General features: G+C 39.1%; 1 protein-coding gene across 26 annotated transcripts in view; it reads left to right on the top strand.

The window, feature by feature from the left end:
• RNF38 (ring finger protein 38) overlaps positions 1–24,711 on the top strand; it is a 151,270-nt gene that overhangs the window by 119,411 nt on the left and 7,148 nt on the right. For all 26 annotated transcript variants that reach the window (XM_047422796.1, XM_047422795.1, XM_047422794.1 and 23 more), the window contains 6 exons: positions 10,317–10,484; positions 11,786–11,956; positions 14,928–15,089; positions 15,411–15,517; positions 17,060–17,144; positions 23,306–23,427. In XM_047422796.1, the coding sequence (XP_047278752.1) occupies positions 10,317–10,484; positions 11,786–11,956; positions 14,928–15,089; positions 15,411–15,517; positions 17,060–17,144; positions 23,306–23,427 (815 nt within the window). The remainder of the gene's footprint in view (positions 1–10,316; positions 10,485–11,785; positions 11,957–14,927; positions 15,090–15,410; positions 15,518–17,059; positions 17,145–23,305; positions 23,428–24,711) is intronic.

The following is a 24,711-nucleotide window of genomic DNA, read 5'->3' as shown; positions in this document are numbered from 1 at the left end:
TAACCAGAACAACACAAGAATTAGAAATCCTGAGCAGACCGGTAGCCATGGCAGAAATTATAAAAGCATAACAAAATCCGTCTTTAAAATTAAAATTACACCTGAGGCCAGGTGCAGTGGCCCACGTCTGTAATCCCAGCACTTTGGGAGTCTGAAGCAGGCGGATCACCTGAGGCCCAGGAGTTTGAGACCAGCCTGGCCAACATGGTGAAACCCCGTCTCTACTAAAAATACAAAAAATTGGCCGCACGTGATGGCAGGCACCTGTAATCCCAGCTACTAGGGAGGCTGAAGCAGGAGAAGCGCTTGAACCTGTGAGGTGGAGGTTGCAGTGAGCCAAGCTCGTGCCATTGCACTCCAGCCTGGGCAACAGAGCGAGACTCCATCTCAAAAAAATAAAAACATCTGACTTCTTGTCTAACCTTTAAAGAACTGGTAATTCGAATTTAAACTATTCTAGATCATAGAAAAAGATAGCTTCCAAATATATTTTATGAAACTAACACAACCTTAACAATGAAACTTCATAGATGAATACAACAAAAGAAAGCTGTTGACTAGTTTCCCTCATGAATACAGATGAAAAAGTTTTAAATAATAAACCATAGCTAGTGGTGTATTAAAAGAATAAGCTGTTTTCAGCAAGAAGGTATGAGAACAATTTTTTAATTAAAAAAAAGAAAAAAGAATAACCTGTTGGAATAACCTATTTTAATATACCTAGTGATGTATTAAAAGAATAACATAATATTGAACCCGTCCTGCATGGGTTCAGTATTAGGAAATCTTTCAAGATAATTGGTTTTATCAACAATATAAAGGAAAAATATTAATAGGCGCAAGAAATATAAAATCTAGCCATCATTTCTTATTAGAAGGTCTTAAAGTGTAAAAAGGAAGGACTTTAATTTTCAATACGTGGTAGGAAGGCTTATTGATAGCATTCCTTTTGCTTGAGGACAACCGAGCGTGCTAGATAAAATAAGTATCCTGAAAGCATCAAAAGAGCTAATAGAAGAAATCAAAACTAAGGGAAAGTGGGGTGCTAGTTCTGTCCTTAAGGCATTTGTTCATTTGAGCAAACCTGGACTTCAATTTTGAGTCTGTCAGGAGGCAAAGGGGACAAAAATCAAGGACTATTTAAGGAGTCACTTTCTATATAGGAGACCCTTCCTGCGTAAAATACCAAACACTTTAAGTCGCTGTATACCCAGAATACAGGGATATCTGGTCACTAGGATAAGACTGAGCAGAAGTAAATTTGCAGCCCAAATTCACATCACTCTGTGAAGTTAGTGAAAATTCATTTAAAGTAATGGGTACCTCAGGGGCCTAGAAAGCAGGGGCAATTTCTCCCTGAAAGAAGGAACCTTCATTTTGGTTCTCAGTTCCCCCAATAATTTTTCAAGAACAGCGAGCAATAAACAAAGTTAACTCGGTACATGACTTAAAAAGGGCTATAATTGAAAACCAATAGAAACAGACCTACAGTGAATTCACCTACTTCAAACATGCTTAAAGGTGAAACTTTGAACACTTTCCTGCTACCTGGAATAAACCAGGATGCTGACTATTACCACATCTATTCAGTAGGCCAAGCCAGCAGAAAAGACAAGAAGAAAAAAGTTTAAGAATAGGAAAAGAACAGGTAACACCATCAATATTTGCAGTCAAACTGATTATACTGATAGAAAATCCCGAAGCATCTTAGGTAATTGTTAGAACTAAGAATTGAACAGATTGAAATGTTACAAAAAATGAATATACAATAATCAGTATTTTTTTTAATACCAGAATCAAACAGAACATGAACAACTTTTTAAAAGATACATTAACACTGAACAACCCAGACATACTAATCAGTTGCAATATGTAAAGCTTTTTTTTGATTCTGTTTGAGAGGAAAGGGAAAAAAGTCTAATAAAATCATTTATTTTTATTTGATGACATAATTGGAATTTTGAACGTGACTGCATGTTTGATTTTAAATAACTTTCCTTTAAAAATATAATAATGCTGTTGTGGCTAATTAAGTGTTCTTATTTTTTAGAAATGCATACTAAAAATTTTTTTTAAATGATAGGGTCCTGGGATTTGCTTCAACAAAACACATGAAACAAAGCAGTATATTCAGGTGGATTGGCTATGGTTTAATGGTTTGAGGGCTGGGCGGTGGATATGGGGGTTTATGCTACTGTTTTTGAACATATTTGAAATTCTCTGTAATAAAAATTCAAAGAAAAAATACCACTGAAAAAATCATAGTAATACTAAAGAAGTTAACTATCAGTCTTGGCCAGGCACAGTGGCTCGTGCCTGTAATCCCAGCACTTTGGGAGGCCGAAGGCGGGTGGATCACAAGGTCAGGAGTTTGAGACCAGCCTGGCCAATATGGTGAAACCCCGTCTCTACTAAAAATACAAAAATTAGCTGGGCATGGTGGCGCGCACCTGTAGTCCCAGCTGTTCGAGAGGCTGAGGCAGGAGAATTGCTTGAACCCGGGAGGCGGAGGTTGCAGTGAGCCAAGATTGCACCACTGCACTCCAGTCTGGGCCACAGAGCAAGGCTCCGTCTCAAAAAAAAAAAAAAAAAAAAACTATCAGTCTTAACAAAAGTGGTTTAAAACCACTGTGTAGAATACCAAAGCATTATTGAGAGAGTTTAAAGAAAACTTATTTATTTTTTGAGACAGAGTTTCGCTCTTCTTGCCCAGGATGGAGTGCAGTGCAATGGTGAGATCTTGGCTCACTGCAGCTTCCACCTTTCCATTTCAAGCGATTCTCCTGCCTCAGCCTCCTGAGTAGCTGGGATTACAGGCACCTGCCACCATGCCTGGCTGATTTTTTGTATTTTTAGTAGAGGTGGGGTTTCACCATGTTGGCCAGGCTAGTCTCAAACTCCTGGCCAAGGGTGTTCTGCCTGCCTCAGCCTCCCAAAGTGCTGGGATTACAGGTGTGAGCCACTGTGCCTGACCACAGGAAAACTTATTTAAATGAGAGATTTGACTCGAAAGATCCCGTTTTTTTTAAGGCTCTTAGTTCTTAAAAGCGGCACATAATAGAATTAGTATAATCCCAAATAAATTTTCAGTAGATTTTTGGTGTAACTTGAGAAGATGATTCTGTCATTTTTAGTGACAATTTAAAAGACCTGAAATTGTCTACAGCCATAGAAAGTGAACTACTGATAGTTGTTTCTGTAAAGTTTTATTGGAACACAACCACACCTATTTGTTCATCTGTATTGTCTTTGGTTACTTTGTGCAGAGACCATGGCCCACAAACCTAAAACATTCACTTTCTAGCTCTTTAAGAAATAATTGGCCCACTGACACCCTGGTCTTAAGGTCTAGACCAATTATTTCTCAAGAGTATTAGCTGAATCAGCTGAGCAGCAGCAGCATCACCTAGATATTTGTTAGAACTGCAGATTCGCAGACTGTACACTAGACTTACTGAATCAGGATCTGTGGGTGTGGGACTCAGCAATCTAGTTTACCATGCCCTCCAGGTGATTCTAATGCACATTGTAATTAGAGAACCACTGTTCTAGTCATGAAAGAACAGGTGGGCAAAGTAGCTTCTCCAGTTACTAGGAATTATTATAAAACTATGGTAATAAAGACATTTATGCCAGCATAGCCAAATAAGCTAATGAAATAGAATATAAAATCTAGAAGCCAACACATTTTCTGTGAATATGGTCATATGCTACATAATAACGTTTGACCAACAGACCACATATACAACAGTGGTCTCGTAAGTTTATAATACCATATTTTTACTATATCTTTTTTGTGTTTAGATACACAAATACAGGGGTTAGAGGTACCAACCCTCTACACTGTTGAAAATACACATATAATGGTTGACTCCCTCAAAAACTAATAGACTAATGTTGACCAATAACATAGTTAATACATATTTAGTATATTATATACTGTATTCTTATAATGTAAGCTAGAGAAAGTGTGATTAAAAAAATCATAAAATACATTAAGTTGATCATAAAGGTCTTCATCCCTGTGGTTTTCATGTGGGGTAGGCTGAGGAAGAGGAGGAGGAGTTGGTTTTGCTGTCTCTGGTGGAGGAGAGGCAGGCACACTTTATGCAACTTTTATTGAAATGTGGGCAGGGCACGGTGGCTCATGCCTGTAATCCTAGCACTTTGGGAGGCTGAAGTGGGCAGATCCCTTGAGGTCAAGAGTTCGAGCCAGCCTGGCCAACATGGTGACACCCCATCTCTACTAAAAACACGAAAGTTAGCCAGACGTGGTGGTGGGTGCCTATCCCAGGTACTCGGGAGTCTGAGGCAGGAGAAATGCTTGAACCCAGGAGGTGGTGGCAGTGAGCGAGATTGCACCTCCAAAAAAAAAAAAAAAAAAATCTGCATATAAGTAGACCCATGCAGTTCAAACTCATGTTGTTCAAGGGCTAACTGTACTTCCCTTGTGTTATAATTACCTACAGGGTTTCGTATAGCAACAGCAACATGCTATACAGGTTTGTAGCCTAGGGGCAATAGGCTATAACATATAAGCCTAGGTGTGTAGTAGGCTCTCTGCCATCTTGGTTTGTATAAGTACACTCTATGATGTTAGTACAACAATGAAATCACCTAATGACACATTTCTCAGAATGTATCTCCATCGTTAAGCCACGCATGAGTATATATACATGGCATATGACTTGATGAATGTAGGTGAGTTGGAACAAGACAGAATTGCTAATAAGTGGTTCTGGGACAGTTGGGTGACCAAATGAAAACATGACATTTTGAGGGCCAAAATTAAAAAGACTGACAATTCTATTGCTAGTGGAAGTAAAAAGTAGCATGATCTTTTGGAAACCTGTTGGTCAGTTTCTAATCATGTCAAACATACACCTACCCAGTAATCCAGCAATTCCATTCTTAGTGTAATCAAGAGAATTGAGTGCATATGTCCACACAAAAAAATTTCTACAGGATTGTTTATAGTGGCTTTCTATGTCTGTTTTTTGGAAATGTTTGTATTCATCAAAAGTTCTCACTGTGGTGCTCCACTGTAGTCCCATCTACTTAGGAGGCGGAGGCTGGAGGATCCCTCGAGCCCAAGTGATTGTGCCATTGTACTTCAGCCTGGGTGACAGAGTGAGACCCCCATCTCATAGATAGATACATAGGTAGATAAGGATGGATGGATGGATGGATGGATGATAGAGCAAGACCCCTGTCTCATAGACTGAAACAATTAATCACCGTGAAGACAGCGAAAAGGTATTTAACCAACAAAAGACTAGGTTGGGGTTCAAGCTTCAGTGGTTCAACCATAAAGAAAAACAGATTAGGGCCGGGTGTGGTGCCTCACGCTTGTAATCCCAGCACTTTGGGAGGCCGAGGCGGACAGATCACGAGGTCAGGAGATCGAGACCATCCTGGCCAACATGGTGAAACCCCATCTGTACTAAAAATACAAAAATTAGCTGGGTGTGGTGATGCACGCCTATAGTCCCAGCTACTCGGAAGGCTGAGGCCGGAGAATGGCTTGAACCCAGGATGTGGAGGTTGCAGTGAGCCAAGATTGCCTGGTGACAGAGCAAGACTCTGTCTCAAAAGAAAAAAAAAATGGTTACCAGAAAAATCAGGATAGTGATTCCTTTGATAACTGGGATCAAAGAGTGGCTGTGAGATCATTTTGACCAGGAAAGGGTCCTTGGAGGGGGTCGTTGGGGGATTTTGGCCATGTTCTGTTTATTGACCTACGTGATGGTTACATGAGTGTTCATCTGATGATTTTTTTTTTTTTTTTGTAGTCTTGATGTTCGTGCTTTATGTACTTTGGTACTTTGATTGTATTTTACAAAGTATTTTACAATGAAGTTTCTGAAAAGAAATATGAAACTCCTTCTCCCCCCTCCCCCGAGACGGAGTTTTGCTCTTGTTGCCTAGGCTGGAGTGCAATGGCTCGATCTTGGCTCACTGCAACCTCCGCCTCCTGGATTCAAGCCATTCTCCTGCCTCAGCCTCCCGAGTAGCTGGGATTATAGGTGCCCACCACCACGCCCAGCTAATTGTTTGTATTTTTAGTAGAGACGGGGTTTCACTGTGTTGACCAGGCTGGTCTCAAACTCCTGACCTCAGGCGATCCACCCACCTCAGCCTCCCAAAGTGATGGGATTACAAGCGTGAGCCACTGTGCCCGGCCCTATTCATTGATTTTAAAATGTACTATTTCCATATTTTAACATCTCTGAATTTGGGATGGATGCTTCTCGCAATTGATGGCATCTTAATCTTGGTGTCAGCCAAGCAGTAGTTGTAACACAGTCTTCATTGCTTGTGCTGTGCATCATATGTCTTGCAGTTAACCCATAGGGATTAAGTGGTAGTGTTTAGGGGGTGTGGCAGGAGGTGAGTTTAACATAAACCTCCAAGCAGGAGTCAAAAGTAGACAAGCTCTATATAATTACACCCCTGACTTAAGAATCTAGCATCAAGTAGCTTTTGTTTCTTTTATGGATAGTTTTAAGAAACGCTGCATCACCAACTCCCTTGATGGCACTGAACCTTTTGTGGGAAAACCAGACAATGACACTGAAATTAAAAGTGATTCACCAGAGTCAGACTCTGAAAGTGAAGAACTATCAGAACTAACTACTTTATTTCACTTATATTTTCCTTTTTTGAATGCTCAAGTGTTGTATGATCTCATTTAAAGTGCTTCTAATAAATATATAAAATTTATAAGTGACCAAGCGTTATGTTAGTTAAACAGAAGTATTTTTCTTAGTATGGGGAAAAAATGGCTATACAATCTGGCCAGACGTGGTGGCTCACGTCTATAATCCCAGCACTTTGGGAGGCCGAGGCGGGCGGATCACGAGGTCAGGAGATCGAGACCATCCTGGCTAACACGGTGAAACCCTGTCTCTACTAAAAAATACAAAAAATACAGAAAAAATTAGCTGGGCATGGTGGCAGGCACCTGTAGTCCCAGGTACTCGGGAGGCTGAGGTAGGAGAGTGGTGTGATCCCAGGAGGCAGAGGTTGCAGTGAGCCGAGATCACGCCACTGCACTCCAGTAAAACAGAAGTATTTTTCTTAGTATGGGGAAAAAATGACTATACAATCTGATGTCTTGGATTCAGCAAAATATGGTACTTGGCCAAGCGCGGTGGTTCATGCCTGTAATCCCTGCACTTTGGGAGGCTGAAGTGGGCAGATCACATGAGCTCAAAAGTTGGAGAACAGCCTGGACAACACAGTGAAACCCTGTCTCTACAAAAATAATAATACAAAAATTAACTGGGTGTGGTCGCATGCACTTGTAGTCCCAGCTACTTGGGAGGCTGTGGTGGGAGGATCACCTGAGCCCCAGGAGATTGAGGCTATGGTGAGCCGTGATGGCACCACTGCACTCCATTGTTGGCAATATATCAAGACTCTGTCTCAAAAAAAATGTGTGTGCAGTTGGTCGGGGTAGGGGGGTGGTATTTGTGACAAAGGCTGTTTATTAGAAATCAATAGTTTTATTGGTAAAATTCATCATACTTTTCCATTAAAATCAGATATAGGATATAGGTACTTATACACATTATTTTTGAAGGTTCTAGTTTGCTAACACAAAAAGATGATAGTTGGGTTGAACCTTATTCAGGTTGGACACCCCTAATTTGAGTATCTGAAATGCTCTAAAATCTAACTTTTTGAGCACCGACTCAACACTCAAAGGAAATGTTTATTTTAAGCATTTTGGATTTCAGATTTTGGGATTAGAGATGCCAAATTGGTAAGTATAATGCAGATTTTCTAAAATTCCAAAAAATCCAAAATGCTTCTGGTCCCATGCATTTCAGATAAGGGATGCTCATCCTGTAGTTGTATACCTAGGAAAGGAGATTCTAAGTTTTTTAAAAATACCAGAATTTAAAAGTTGGTAAGGTTGATATATTCAAGATAATATAGATAAAAATTATCTTCGTACTAACACTAACCGCTTTGACATGCAAATAGAGTAAAATAACCTCTTGTCATTATAACAGAACCACAGTTTGAGGAACAAATTTAATAATAAACTTTGAGAAATAAATTTAATAATCTTTTTGAAGAAAACTAATTTTTTTTTTCAATCCTGTCTTATGGGGTTGAAGGAAGACTTAATTTCTTCTTGAAAGACAGAACCGTGATATTCAACGTAATGGCATAATGTTTCTGGGTATAAAAAGTCTTAATATAGGTCAGGCACGGTGGCTCACGCCTATAATCCTAACACTTTGGGAGGCTGAGGCAGGCAGATCATCTGAGTTCAGGAGTTCAAGACCAGACTGGCCAAAATGGTGAAACCCTGTCTCTAATTTAAAAAAAAAAGCCAGGTGTAGTGGCACACGCCTGTAGTCCCAGCTACTCGGGGCGGGGCTAAGGTAGGAGAATTGCTTGAAACCAGGAGGTGGTGGTTGCAGTGAGCCAAGATTGTGCCATTGCACTCCAGCCTGGGCGACAAGGCTGGAGCCTGGGCGAAACTCCATCTCAAAAAAAAAAAAAATCTTAATATAAAATTCAGTCCTTTGTAAAATAACATATTTAGTACAATCTTAATACTAATGGGTTTTGGAAGTGAATAAAATTGATTTTATACGTAAGAATAACTGTGTGACAATGCCAAAAAATGAAAAGATGTATGGTGAGAAGAATTTCTTACCAGATGCTAACTCTTCCAGTAAGATACTGTAGTTAAAGCAGCATGAAATCCAGGAATGTGTGCGTACTTAATGAATTTTTAAAAAGATGGTATTTCACTGTAGAGGCAAGAAGATGGTTTAATAAATGGAGCAAGTATAATTGTCCATGTGCAAGCAAAATTAGAGCCCTACTTTATAAACAAAAATAAGTCTTTTGGAATACGAAAAACTAAAGAATTAGGAAATACAGGAATATATGTTTATAACCTCATCAGTAAAGGAAACCCCAAAGCTACACTCTGGCTACATTTAAAAAAAAAAATCACAAAAGACAAAAATATGCCATTAAATAAAGGATCTCATCAAAAGATAAAACATAGACTAGGAAAATATTTTCATTACACACAACAAGCAATAGATTCATATACCTCTTAAATAAAAAAATTACAAATGATTATGACAACCTAGAGGATCGATGGGGCCAGGTGCAGCGGCTCACACCTGTAATCCCAGCACTTTGGGAGGCCAAAGCTTCCGCCTTGGCCTCAGATGAAATTAAGTCTTCCTTCAGCCCCATAAGACAGGATTGAAAAAAAAATTAGTTTTCTTGTCGCCCAGGCTGGAGTGCAATGGCGCGATCTCAGCTCACTGCAACTTCCACCTCCCAGGTTCAAGTGATTCTCCTGCCTCAGCCTCCCAAGTAGCTGGGATTACAGGCACCCGCCACCACTCCCAGCTAATTTTTTGTATTTTTAGTAGAGACGGGTTTTCACCATGTTGGCCAGGCTGGCCTCATCCTCCTGACCTCCAGCGATCTGCCCACCTCGGCCTCCCAAAGTGTTGGAATTACAGGCATGAGCCACCGTGCCTGGCCAAACTAATATCATATTTTTTCAGTTGTGTTTATATTGGCAAAAGAGTTGAAAACAATTTGAACATGTGTTGATACACCATATGATAGGACTGTGTTAAGCAAGTGTTTCTTAAAATATCTGGCTAGTACCAAAGAGAACAAGTTACTTTTAACTCCCTTGCATACATACCTGCAATGTAGTATTAAATGGAAAAACAAAGTTGCAGGGTAGTATGATCTCATTTCTGTTAAGAAAACAAAAATAAATGTGACATTTTATATGTAATTGTGCTTTCATATGTTCATGGAGAAAGAGAAGAAGGATATGTTATCAGCATCGTTTGCCTCTGGGTGGCAGGTAGGATGGGAATAAGATTGGCTAGGCGGGAAATGAGATTTCATTTTTTTAAAAATATACTTTACATTGTTTCACTAGTTGTAATTAAAATTTGTTTTGAATGTGACCAAATAATGGAAGATACAAGCTTTAATGATTCCAGTTCTTTTTATTCTGCCTTTATAGGACAGGCTAGAAGAGTTAATATAGTAATCCATTATTTCCCTGGGCTTTTCAAGTCATTTGAGGGAGGAGTTTAGCCCCAATTTTGTGGAAATAGTATATACTCTTGAAATAGTCAACTCTCCCCTACAAAGACAATGAATATTCTGGTCGAAACTATTGGAGAGTACATTGTGAAAATCCGTGTAGCTGAGAGAGGAGCCAATAAATGACCAAATGTTGATTTTGAATAGTTAACATTTTATCTAAACAGCTAAAGTTTGTTCATTTGTTTTTTCCTTTAAAGCTCCATCAAGGAACAGTCCCTGTTTCTTACACAGTAACAACAGTGGCACCACATGGGATTCCACTCTGCACAGGCCAGCACATCCCTGCTTGTAGTACACAGCAGGTCCCAGGATGCTCTGTGGTTTTCAGTGGACAGCACCTCCCTGTCTGTAGTGTGCCTCCTCCAGTAAGTCTCTATCTTTGTTCTCATTAGATATTACTATTAAGCACACCAGCCTGAATTTGGTTTTGTAACTTCCCGACTCTTACCCTCTTTAGAGGGGCTAACTGCATTATATAAGCAAACAAAATTTAAGAGACTGTCTTTGTAGTTTCACTTTCAAGTAAAAAGGCCAATTTTATTGCAATAAAAATCTCAATAATATCCTTATAGTAACCATTTAAGAAAATTAGCTTTATAACCGGATATATTTTTACATTAATTAACTTATACATATATTTGGATATCCTGAGGGTCAAACCATGTTTTCTCATATGTCAACACCGTTTATAATTAAAGCCAATGAAGGTCAGCCTAAGTCTCAGAGACCTTATTGTTCAACACTTAAGAGTCTCAGCACTTACTGAGTTTTAATGGGCACTTTGAGTGCTTTGTCTTATTCCTTACTATAGGAAACCTATGATGAAAGTAGCATCATCCCCCATTTTCTAGTGTCTGAATCTGAAAAGTTAAATATGACTTGCTCAGTGCCGTAGAGACAGCTAGTATAGGAGAGTAGAGATTCACACTAACTTTTTTTTTCTTGCCTCTGAAGCTTATGCTTTGTCCTTTAATCTTTAATCTCAGTTCAGCCTCCTTTCAGAAATGAGGGCGCTGTATTTAAATGATGTATCTAAGGTCAACAATGTCTTCAAAGGAAATCACAGCAAAATTTAAATGTAACTCTTAATACGTTGCTCTGAATGTGAGATTAAAGCAAGTGCACACTTATACCAATACTAACTTAACAGATTAATTTACTCAGGCTTAGTTTCTCAGTAATAGAAACATTGTACCAAATTTGGGAACTAAAATACTGAGAGATTATAAGGCAATTAGTTGAGAGTTGTGCTCTTATGAAAATCCTAGGAAGAAAAAGATTTCTACAGGATTGAAAAGGGGAGTTTCTTGAAATACCGGTAGTGTTTGCTACATCTTAAACCAACTAGAGAGAGTTTCCTCTTCTTTGCAGCACTTCCCCCCCGCCCCCCCCACACCCGCCCCAACCCTTTTTCATAGATGGTTAAAAGGCTCAAGGATTTCAACCAATTTATAAAAATTATATAAAATACAGAATAGTTATTAGTACCATTACTTTACTAGTAGATTAAAAAATACACTGGTATTTCATTGTTAATATAAGCTATTAAAAACATTTTCATGATTTTGGGAGAGGTGTGACAATGACAGATTTTAATCTCACTATCCTTTTAAATTAATCATATATTCTGATATTTTTAACCAAACTGTAATGGTTTCTCTTACAGATGCTTCAGGCATGTTCAGTTCAGCACTTACCAGTACCATATGCTGCATTCCCACCCCTTATTTCTAGTGATCCATTTCTTATACATCCTCCTCACCTTTCTCCCCATCATCCTCCTCATTTGCCACCACCAGGCCAGTTTGTCCCTTTCCAAACACAGCAATCACGATCGGTAGGTATCTCTACTATTATGTCAGAATGTTTAGTTTTTAACTAATTTTTAATTTTTTCAGAATGTTTAGGCCAGGTATATAACCTTAGTGGATTTAAGAACCAGACGAATGCCTAAGTTACTATGTTTAAATGGCATGCTTAAACATAGTAACTTGGCCAGGTGCAGTGACTCACTCCTGTAATCCCAGCACCCTGGGAGGTCGAGGCAGGCAGATCACCTAGGGTCTGGAGTTCAAGACCAGCCTGGCCAACATGGTGAAACCCTGTCTCTACTAAAAGTACAAAAATTAGCCGGGCATTGTGGCACGTGCCTGTAATTCCAGCTACTCAGGAGGATGAGACATGAGAATCGCTTGAATCCAGGAGGCAGAGGTTGCAGCGAGCCAAGATCATGCCACTGCACTCCAGCCTGGGCGACAGAGTGAGACTCTGTCTCCAAAATAAACAAACAAACAAACGTAATAACTTAGGCATTCTTCTGGTTCTTGAATTAAAGGAATCCAAACATATACAAATTAGTATAAACGTTTACCTTAAATTTCTGGTTTCTTAAATTTTTCTAGTTATTTTAATGTCACTTGTCTAAATTTGTGTTCTATTACATCTGCAGTCCTTCAGGAAGTAAATCTGAAGAAAAGTTTTTAGTTGTATTGTTTTTTTCTTTTTATGTGGTTCTAAATTGGAAAATGAAAATATTATAAAATTATTAATACTTGTTAGAATAATATTTGTATTCATTTAGGCAAGGAAATTAACCTTTCTGAACTTGAGTTACTTTTTCTGAAGGCCTGGTTTTTCACTATGTTGTGATGAAAAGCAGATGAGGTAGTCTGTTAACATAGTTAATTCTGTCTTGGGACTGGGATATAGTTGAGAGGCCTATTATTTTGGGACACTGGGAGATATAAGTACTATATAAGTACAAAGAAGGGCACAGGAAAAAAGGTCCAGTTGTTTTGATAGGCCAGGTTCAGCATCAAGACCATCAGACATTAAGGAGAAACAGGAGAGATAACCTATAGAAGTGGCTAAAGTGGAAGATTTCAGCTCTGTGGAAAGAACTTGACAGTTTATTGTAGCAGTCTTACCATTGTTTACTAAGGATTTCTATACCATGCTGGGTACCAAAGAGGCTGCTGTCCTGAAAACTGTAGAAGCAATTATGACGCAAGTTTGGCTCATCAGAAGAGGTAGAATTGCTTCTGCAAGACAATCTTTTCTTGGAAATAGGATAGGATTTGTGCCAGGATGTTCTCCTTCTCAGCTTCCAGTATCTGGGAATTCAAGGCTAAAGCAAAATTTAGCTATCACTTGTATCTAAATTTGGAATTCTTTTAAAGGTCCAGTCACATAGCCATATCAAGACTTTGTTTTCACTAGTGTTGTCATAGTGTAAGCAATTGTGATTTCTCTCAAGCATGCATAGGCTTCCAAATTAAAGCTTAGTATTTACTTATATTTGAATAACATGTTGCTATTCTGTAACTAAGGGAAGAAGTCAGACTAGCATTTAAAAATAAATGTGCCTAAGAGAATTCAGTTGAAAACATCAGCATGAAAATGTGTACACAAATGTAGTAATAGCACTATTCCTAATAGTCAAAGAGTGGACAATCCAAATGTCTGTCAACTGATAAATGGGTGACGAAAGAGTGGTATATCCATGCAATGTAATACTCACTCATAAAAAGGAGTGAAGCATTGATAAAGTCTGCGAAACAGATGAGCCTTGAAAGCATTATGTTAAGCAGAGAAGGTAGACATAGCTTCTTGCTTATTTAAATGAACTGGTTCCATTTACATGAAACGTGTAGAATAAGTAAATACATAAAAATGGAAAGCTGGGCCGTGCGCGGTGGATTACAAAGTCAGGAGATCGAGACCATCCTGGCTAACACGGTGAAACCCTGTCTCTACTAAAGTCTACTAAAAATACAAAAAAGTAGCCAGGTGTGGTGGCGGGCGCCCTAGCCCCAGCTACTCAGGAGGCTGAGGCAGGAGAATTGCTTGAACCCAGGAGGCAGAGGTTGCAGTGAGCCAAGATGGCGCCACTGCACTCCAGCCTGGGCAAGAAGAGCAAGACTCTGTCTCAAAAAATAAATAAATAAATAATGGAAAGCTGATGGCTTGGGGAAATGGGGATTGACTGATAATGGGTATACAGTTTCTTTTTGGGCTGATGAAAATGTTCTGGAACTAGATAGTGGTGATGGTTACATAACTGTTAATATACCAAAAATCCATTCAGTTGAATTCCTTTTATCATATGTCAGTTATATCTCAATGAACTGTTCTTTGTTTTCTTGTGGCTTTTGTTTTTGTTTTTGTTTGAGACAGAGCCTCCCTCTTGTTTCCCAGTGTTAACTACACACTTTTGAAGTAGGCTCTGAGCATGCCGGTTTTATAGATGACAATACTGAGGTTCAGATTAAGTAATTTATCTGAAAGTTAACATGGCTGATTGGTGACAGTACCAAGATTCTAATGTCCAGAAGCCCATAATCTTTCTGCACAGCATAATGCCTCTGTACCATATCTCATTTAGCCCTGTTTCTGATTTATAAATGCACATCCTGTTTTGTTTCATCTGTGAAAGGTTAAATGTCTGAAAATCCTTTAGGTCAGGGTGCTATGACTGAAAAAGTAATTTTAATTTTGCTATAATTGGCTTATTCGATGACTTTTTGCCTTCTCATTTTAAGAGAAGGTTCAAATAGTAAAATAAATAGAGGGTAATGGAAATGTTTGATAACATGTTTTAAACCTTGTTGAAATCAAAGTTAGGAAGATTTTACTGTAGCCTATATGTTTACTTGTATGAATTTTAGATTCATGTGAATATCAAGAGATGCATGGCCTTAAAGACATTTTGGGATTTTAAATTTGTGATTATTATAAAGCATAATCTATCTAAACACAGGAAGTATATATATATATACATATATGTGTTTTTTTTTCCCCCTCCTCAGCCTCTGCAAAGGATAGAAAATGAAGTGGAACTCTTAGGAGAACATCTTCCAGTAGGAGGTTTTACTTACCCTCCATCAGCCCACCCCCCAACATTACCTCCATCAGCTCCCTTGCAGTTCTTAACACATGATCCTTTGCATCAGGAGGTGTCCTTTGGAGTAGTAAGTTTTCACAGAGTACTATGTTAATTACTTGCTTTGGCAACTTACTTGTTCTGAGTTATGTTTTAGTATAATTCACCATATTTAGAATTATATGTATTCTCGACAGCATTCAGTTGGAAAGTTATATTTAGAAATACACCTGAGTGTATGGTTTAAAATGGTTGCTGCATCCATTAATAAGTTAGTATTTAAGGAATATTAAAACTTTGAACAATAAAGAACTTTACTGTTTAAGTCTTTTTTTAATTAGATACTTTATTTGACAGGCTATTTGTAAACGTAGAGTGATTCTAAATCTTAACATTTTTCCCCTTGCAGCCTTATCCTCCATTTATGCCTCGGAGGCTTACAGGACGTAGTAGATACCGATCCCAGCAGCCAATACCACCTCCCCCTTATCATCCCAGCTTACTGCCATATGTGTTGTAAGTTCTTTCTTATCTTAATGATTTCTGAATTTTGAAACTCTTGAGATTCTCTTTCCTTTGTGAATGTCTTTGTGTCTATAGCTTTTGGTGTGTTAGTTATTTGTCTTTACTTAATGTTAAAGGGTGGGGTGGGAGGAGCCAGTTAAGGCTGAAAGAAAGAACAGTAACATAGGAGAAATGGGGAAGGAAGAAATCTGTGAGCCAAAAAATAGGTTTAACAGATCAAGAAGCAGAAAAGGTTAAGATTTTCTGCCTCTTTTACAACTGATAACACTTACCACCAGTCTTGATTATTCAGCTTTTAGTGCTGTTTTTCTTAGGGAGAAAGGAGAAAAATTTATTTATTTCTATGTCTTAGAACTACTCTATTTGGATTAAGTTGGTCTGTAACAGAAATTCCCATGGGTAGGTTTGTTGTTTTTTTTTTTTAATTTGAGATGGAGTCTCGCTCTTAAGTCTGTGCTGGAGTGCAGTGGCACCACCTCGGCTCGGCTCACTGCAAGCTCTGCCTCCCAGGTTCCAGCGATTTTCCTGCCTCGGCCTCCCAAGTAGCTGGGATTACAGGCATGGACCACCATGCCCAGCTAATTTTTGTACTTTTAGTAGAAACAGGGTTTCGCCATGTTGGCCAGGCTGCTCACGAACTCCTGACCTCAGGTGATCCGCCCATCTTACCCTCCCAAAGTGCTGGGATTACAGGTGTGAGCCACTGCGCCCTGCCAGTAATTATTTATTTCTGTCTCACATAATAAAGTCTAGAAGTAGGCAGCTCAACGATGATTTCGTTAGCCCTGTGACTATGAACAATGTTAATGGCTTCCTGTATAAGATCTAAGGTGGCCTCTCAGGCTCTAGTCATATGACATTCCACCTAGCAAAAATAAAAATAGATTCCTCTGCCTACCTGCTCCTCTCAAGGATATGTCCCAGAAGTGGCACGTATAACCCCTGCCTCTGTATCACATTGGCCAGAACTTAGTCACATGTCTATAATTACTTTCTGGGAATGCTAGGAAATACAGTTTTTATACCAGAAGGCCACGTGCTTACGTTACCACACTGTGGTCATAGTTTTTCCTTCCTTCCTTCCTCTCTCTCCCCGTTTTCTCTATTTATCTTTCTATCTTAATGTCAGATATAGTATGTCTCCCAATTTGGTCTTAAAATGTTTCAGTTTAAGGTCTTTTGCATTTCCTTATAAATTTTTAAATCAGCATGTGAGTTTTTACTTAAGTGCTTGCTGCAATCTTGGTAGGTATTGCATGGAATTTATAGATTATTTTAAGGAGAAAGTGACATCTGAATGATATTGAGTCTTCTAATCTTCTTATGTGGTATATTTCTGTTTATTCACCTTTAAGTTATCCTAGCAATCTATTTGCAGTTTTTATTGTACAGTTCTTGCATATGTTTTGTTAAATTTGTCAGATTAACACTAACCATTCTTCATCCTTATAGCACTGGCCTCTGTCCTCCCTGTCCTGTTCATTGATTTAATGTACTAACATATCAATGCTAGTGTGATTGTTTTCACTGCAGATCAATGCTTCCAGTGCCACCTGCAGTGGGCCCAACTTTCAGCTTTGAATTAGATGTAGAAGATGGAGAAGTAGAAAATTACGAGGTTAGTAGATGAATTGTGAATTAATTTGGGGAATATTGTGTGCATGAAAGTATTATTCTACTTAACTCTTTAAACCACAGGTGTCCAATCTTTTGGCTTCCTGGGCCACATTGGAAGAAGAATTACTGTGTTGGGCCACACATAAGATACACTAATACTAATAGTAGCCAATAACCTTTTAAAAATTTGCAAAAAATACATCTCATTTTGTGAAAGTTTATGAATTTGTGTTGGGCCACATTCAGAGCCATCCTGGGTCACATGCAAGCCATGTGTTCAACAAGCTTGATCTAAACATGTATTAGGTAAACACTTTGTGGATTTCAAGATACAAACATGTCATAAAAATGTTTTAACATGTTTAAGGATATTTGAATATGTAATACCACATAGCTATGATAACAGGTAGGTAGATTGGTGCTCTATTAGAATTACGTACAATTCCAATGAGAATGCAAATGAGAAAACAGTGAATTTTGATTAGGCATGCTGAAAAGATTTTGTGGAAGCCAAAATGTTTGAGCTAGATCTTAAATAATGTATAAGCTTTTCATCTTTAAGATTTAGGCAGAGAAGGGCTAGACATTCTTGAGAATCAACAGATGGTCTGTGGTTAACATAAAAGGGAGAAAATCGGCAGTTGATTGAAAAGCTCAATTGGTTGTCCTTCAGTGCTTGCTACAGAGTGGACATGATTTTGAATATTGTGGAGGAGGAAGGAGCCACTAAATGTTTTTGGTGCTTTATGGCATCAGTACTTGTGAAGAGTCCAAACTCTGCCACTACTGTGAAGTAATCGATGGGAGTGGTTAGAAAATGGTGACAAGGAAACCCATTTAGATGTTGTAATAGGTAAGGCAATAAATTATAAGACCATGCATGTTCTGAACCTTAGGAACTGCGAATAGAAAGGAACACAACAGTCAACCAGTTTTTGACAAGGCACCCAAGAAAACACAATGGGGGAAGGATAGCCTCTTTAAGAAATGGTGTTGGGAGGCTGAGCGCAGTGGCTCACCCTGTAATCCCAGCATTTTGGGAGGCCAAGGCGGGTAAATCACCTGAGGTCAGGAGTTCGAGGCCAGCCTGGCCAACATGGTGAAACCCCGTTTCTATAAAAATACTAAAATTAGCGAGGCGTGGTGGCGGGTGCCTGTAATCCCAGCTACTCGGGAGGGGGAGGCTGCAGTGAGCCAAGATCACACCATTGTACTCCGGGCTGAGTGACAGAGCAAGACTGTCTGAAAAAGAAAAAAGAAATGTTGGGAAAACTGGATACCCACCTGCAAAAGAATGAAACTGGACCTTTACACCATACGTGAAAGTTAACTCAAAATAGATTAAAGACCTAAACTTACTACCTGAAATGATAAAAGTGCTGAAAGAAAACAGGGGAAAAGCTCCTCGATATTGGCCATGGCATTGGTTTTTTGGCCATCACACCACAAGCATAGGCAACAAAAGCTAAAATAAATAACTAGGACTACATTGAACTAAAAGGCTTCTGTACCGCAAAAGAAAGAAACAGCAGAATGAAAGGCAGACTACAGGTTGGGAGAAAATATGAAAAACATCTGATAAGGGGTTAATATTTAAAATATTCAAGGAACTTACACAACTCAGTAGCAAAAAAAATGAATAACCCAATTTAAAAAAAATGGGTGGAGGACCTGAATAGACATTTCTCAAAGAAGACACAAAATGTCCAACCAGGTATATGAAAAGGTGCTCAACATTGCAATCAGGGAAATGTAAATCAAAACCACAATAAAATATCACTTCATACCTGTTAGGATGGCTGTTTTCAAAAAGTCAGTAAGTATTGGCAAGAATCTAGAGAAAAGAGAATCCTTTATTCCATGGGCTGCAGAGTGAATGTTGTGTTAGCAGGCAGGAAAACCAGATTCATCTCTTTGTACATCTTCATCAGAGCACTTGAGCAGTAATATTTTGAAAGGAATCTTTTTCTCTTGAACAAGTCTCAAGTTGTCTTAAAATGTTCCATAAACCATACTGTAAACAGACGTTTTGTCATCCAGGCTTTATTATTGGGCAGTGTAGATTTAGCATAATTTCTTAAGGGCCCACAGAATGGCAGATGATTATTGGCTTCAGCCTACAGTCACCAGCTGTGTTATCCCCCCAAAAAGAGTCAGCCTGTTCTTTGAAGCCAGGCACTGCCGCCTTTTCTTTCTAGCTATGAAAATCTTAGATGGCATCCTCTTCCAATATAGGGCTGTTCCGTCTACATTGAAAATCCATTGTTTAGTGTATTCACTTTCATCAATGATCTTAGATAGAGCTTCTGGGTAACTTGCTACAGCTTCTGTATCAGCATTTCCAGCATCACCTTGCACTTCGTTGTTATAAAGATGGCTTCTTTCCTTATACTTGATGAACCAGCCTTTGCTAGCTTCCAACTTTTCTTCTGCAGCTTCCTCACCTCTCTCAACATTGATAGAATTAAAGGACCTTGTTCTGGATTAGGTTTTGGCTAAAGAGAATGTTGTGGCTGGTTGGATTTTCTATCTGTATCACTCAGACTTTCTCCATATCAGCAATATGGCTGCTTTGCTTTCTTATTCGTGCGTTCACTGGAGTGACTTTTCTGTTTTCTTTTTGTTTGTTTGTTTGTTTTGTTTGAGACAGGGTCTTACTCTGTCACCCAGGCTGGAGTGTATTGCCACGAACTCCGCTCAGTACAGCCTCAACCTCCCAGGCTCAAGCGATTCTCCCACCTCAGCCTCCTAAGTAGCTGGGACAGTAGATACATGCCACCACACTTGGCTAATTTTTGTGGATTTTTTTTTTTTTCTTTCAGAGATAAGGTTTTGCCATCCAAGGCTAGTCCAAGTGTTGGGATTACAGTCATGAGCCACTGTGCCCAATGAGAATGGCACTTTTTCTATTCGAACTTTGCCTTTGCCTTTAGAACATGGTTACTGGTTTGGTGCAAGAGGCCTACATTTTGGCCTGTCTCCGCTTTGACATGCCTTTCTTACTAAGCTTAATCATTTCTAGTTTTTGTTTTGTTTTTTTGAGACGGAATCTCACTCTGTTGCCCAGGCTGGAGTGCCGTGGCGCAATCTCGGCTCACTGCAAGCTCCGCCTCCTGGGTTCACGTCATTCTCCCGCCTCAGCCTCCCGAGTAGGTAGGACTACAGGCGCCCGCCACCATGACCGGCTCATTTTTTGTATTTTTAGTAGAGACGGGGTTTCACCGTGTTAGCCAGGATGGTCTCGATCTCCTGATCTCATGATCCACCCGCTCAGCCTCCCAAAGTGCTGGGATTACAGGCATGAGCCACTGTGCCCGGCCTAATCATTTCTAGTTTTTAAAGTGAGACACATGTGACTCTTCCTTTCACTTGAACAATTAGAGGCCATTGTGGGGTTATTAATTGGCATAACTTCAATATTGTTGTGTCTCAGAGACTAGGAATACCGCAGGAGACGGAGAGAGATGGGCGAATAGCCAGTCGTTCAGTGGAGTAGTCAGAATACCCAACATTTATCAATTAAGTTTTCTGTCTTATACAAGTACAGTTTGTGGTACCACAAAACAAGTGCAATAGTAACGTCAAAGATCAGAGATCATTATAGCAGATATGAAAAAGTTTGAAATGCTGTGAGAATTACCAAAATGTGACACCAGGATATGAAATGACTACATGACTGTTGGAAAAATTGAATTAATAGATTTGCTCAATATGGGGTGGCCACACACCTTCAATTTTTTGTTTTTGTTTTAAAAAGGTCGTATCTGTGGCATGCAGTAAAGCAAAGCGCAGTAAAGTGAAATATGCCTGTGTAGTCTTTATACTGTAAGAACTTAACATATTCTGTCACAAATTGTATTTGTTGACCTTTGTGTACTAAGAGATATAAAAGATCATTATCAATGATATCATAAATTTTATCTAAATTTTATATATTGTAATCACCATCAATTTGGCAATTTACTTCCCCCCCCCCCCCCCCCCCCCCCCCCCCCGAGATGGAGTCTCCCTTTGTCGCCCAGGCTTGGAGTGCAATGGTGCAGTCTCGGCTCACTGCAACCTCTGCCTCCCGGGTTCTAGTGATTCTCCTCCCTTAGTCTTCCAAGTAGCTGAGATTACAGGTGCACGCCACCATGCCTGTCTAATTTTTTTGTAATTTTAGTAGAGACGGGGTTTCACCGTGTTGACCAGGTGGGTCTCAAATGCCTGACCTCAAGTGATCTGCCTGCCTTAGCCTCCCAAAGTGCTGGGATTACAGGCTTGAGCCACCATGTGTGGCCTGGCAATTTACTTTCTATTCCAGCATTTAGAAGGGCTGGGGAGCTAGTGAAAGGGGAACAAATTATTTAGATGACGCAATTATCTAAATAATGTTGACACAGAAGCAAAGTTGTAGTATCATAATAAAACACACAGTTATTACATTAACTGTTGACATTTGGGGAATTTATTTCTGTTTCTCTCATCTGTCATTATTTGTTACCCATTCTGTTAACCCTGGGCAACCTGAAAAAATGGAGAAAAGCAGTCCACAAAAGGCAGACTAATTGCGAGATAAACCAAATGAGTTATTAGAGTCATTAAGGAAAGGAGGTACTGGTGTAAAATCAATAAGCATAATAATTGGCTGGGCATAGTGGCTCACTCCTGTAGTCCCAGCACTTTGGGAGGCCAAGGCAGGTGGATCACTTGATGTCAGGAGTTTAAGCCCAGCCTGGTCAACGTGGCAAAACCCTGTCTCTACTAAAAAATAAAAAATACAAAAAATTAGCTGGGCAGCTACTCAGGAGGAGGAGGCAAGAGAATCGCCTGAACCTGGGAGGCAGAGGTTGCAGTTAACCAAGATCATGCCATTGCACTTCAGCCTGGAGGATGAAGCAAGACTCTGACTCAAAAAAAAGGGCATAATAATTACAGTATTGAAACACATCAAATATGTTAAAGTTCATGAGTTGATGGTGGATACTTCATAAAAGAAATTAGGTGGTCTCATTTATCCTATTCTACCTAAATTATTCTGAGTATTGTTTAATATGAGGTATTCTAATAAATGAAGAATGATAAAATAAGAATATTACTGTTTTGCCATTTTTAATGAATTAATGGATCTTGACAGTATTCCATCATTGGCTGCTAACATAACCAGTGGACACGATGGGTCTTATGGTATAAGTATTCACATCTCCCTATTTATAGGACAAGGGGGCAAGGGATTTGTTAAACCCAGTGGGTCAGGGATGGGAGGTTCATTTAGCAGATTTCAAACTGGGAATTTCTACAGCTCATTAACCTGGTTTCTTCAAATTTAAGAGTGAAAAAGAGTCTTGAGACATATTAGGCCATGGTAAGTTACGGATTTGTTTGGATCCTTATTTGAACAAACTACTTTTTAAAGTTTTGAATTGAAAACAAAGACATTTGAACGTTAATTGGTCATTTGATGTTAAAGAATTAGTGTTAATATTTTAGGTGTGATGATGTCATTGTGGTTATATTCTAAAAAGTCTATCTTTTTAGAGCAGCGATTCTCAACCTGGGGACAGTTTGTCCCCTAGGGGATATTTGGGAATGTGTGGAAACATTTTTGGTTGTTACAGCTAGGGGGTGTTAACTGGCACTGAGAGTAGAGGGAGGCCAGGAATGCTGCAAAACATCCTGTAGTCCCCAGGCCAGCCCCGACAACAAAGAATTATCCAGCTCACAGGGTCAAAGTTACTAACTTTGTTTTACAGATGCACTTGATACAAATGAAATGATACCATCTTTCAGTTTTGTTTTAAAATAAGGTGAGGTTTAGGATAGATTGTAATAGGTAAAAGATTAGCCATGGACTATTGACCTGCGTAATGGATAGATCAAGGTTCATTAATGTTACTTTTCTCCTTTTGTATGTGTTTAGATTTTTTCATAAGAAACATTTAAAAAATTATTTTAATAGGGCTGCAGTGGTACGCAATTGTAGCTCCAGATACTCAGAAGGCTGAGGCAAGAGTATTGCATGAGGTCAGGAGTTCGAGGCCACAGTGCACAATGATCATGCCTGTGAACAGCCGCTATACTCTAGCCTGGGCAACATAGCAGGACTCCATCTCTTAAAAAAAAAAAGTATTGGAATGCAAAATGTAAAGATAGATGAAAATATGTCGTCTTTTACCGCTGCAGGCCCTGTTAAACCTGGCAGAGCGACTGGGAGAGGCAAAGCCTCGTGGACTGACTAAAGCAGATATTGAACAACTTCCTTCTTATCGGTTCAATCCTAACAACCACCAGTCAGAACAGACTTTGTAAGTAAATTTTTCTGACATCACTGCTAAATTTCCTTTTCTACCTTTATGAAATAAAAGCTTAAGAGTCATTAAGGTAAAAGTTGGGAGAGGAAATAAAAAATTGAAAGAAAATGCTTAGGAGTCAGAGATAACTTTGATAAAGATAAGTTATCTTTATTTCATAGTCTAAACCAGTGCTTGTCCAGTAAGTCAATGTAGAGCTAATTAAATTAAAAATTAAATGTCTTAGTCGTACTAGCTAATAGCTGCTGTGTTGGGTGGTATGGATGTAGAACATTTCTGTCATCTTAGAAAGTTCTGTTAGGGCTGTTCTGGATTTTTATGTTGCTTAGCAATTTTGTTTCTAATTCACATTCTAGAATGTTTGTTTTCACACAAGATTGAAAATTCATGCACATAAAGTTTTGAGGTTCTTACCTAAAATTTCTGCTTAATATGGGATCTTTTAAAAATAGCTTTATTGATATATAATTTACATACCATAAAATTCCACTCATTTAAAATGTACAATTCAGGCCGGGCGCAGTGGCTCACACATGTAATCCCAGCACTCTGGGAGGCTGAGGCGAGTGGATCACCTATGGTCAGGAGCTTGAGACCAGCCTGGCCAACATGGCAAAACCCTGTCTCTACTAAAAATACAAAAATTAGCTGGACATGGTGGCAGGCACCTGTAATCCCAGCTACTCGAAAGGCTGAGGCAGGGAGAATTGCTTGAGCCCAGGAGGTGGAGGTTGCAGTGAGCCGAGATCACACCACTGCACTCCAGCCTGGGTGACAGAGCAAGACTCCATCTCAAAAATAATAATAATTTAAAAAGTACAATTCAGTGGTTTTTTGTATATTCATAGAGCTGTGTAACTATCACCACAATCAAATTTAGACCCATTGCATCACCCTAAAACAAAACCCCTCACCCACTGGCAACACTCGTCATATTTCTACCTCACCTTGGTGCCTCCTCCCCATCCCCAGTCTACACTGTGTCTATATAGATTACACATAAATGGGGTCATACAATATAGGGTCTTTTTGTGTCTAGCATCTTTCACTTAGCATAACTTTTTCTATATTGTAGCTTTTACTGGTAAGTCATTTCTTTTTATGGCCAAATAATATTCCATTGTATAGATCATATTTTTTTTTCGTCGATGGATGGACATTTGGGTTTCCACTTTGGGATTGAATAATGCCAAAGCTAAATAATGGCTTTGAATCACTCTATATTGTCTATTTTTTTTTATTATAGCCAGTCTAGTGATTGTGAAGTGGTATTTCCTG

This window comes from Homo sapiens, chromosome 9 (assembly GCF_000001405.40).
Source record: "Homo sapiens chromosome 9, GRCh38.p14 Primary Assembly".
NCBI classification, from domain to species: domain Eukaryota; kingdom Metazoa; phylum Chordata; class Mammalia; order Primates; family Hominidae; genus Homo; species Homo sapiens.
This window is presented reverse-complemented; position numbering and strand designations above follow the sequence as displayed.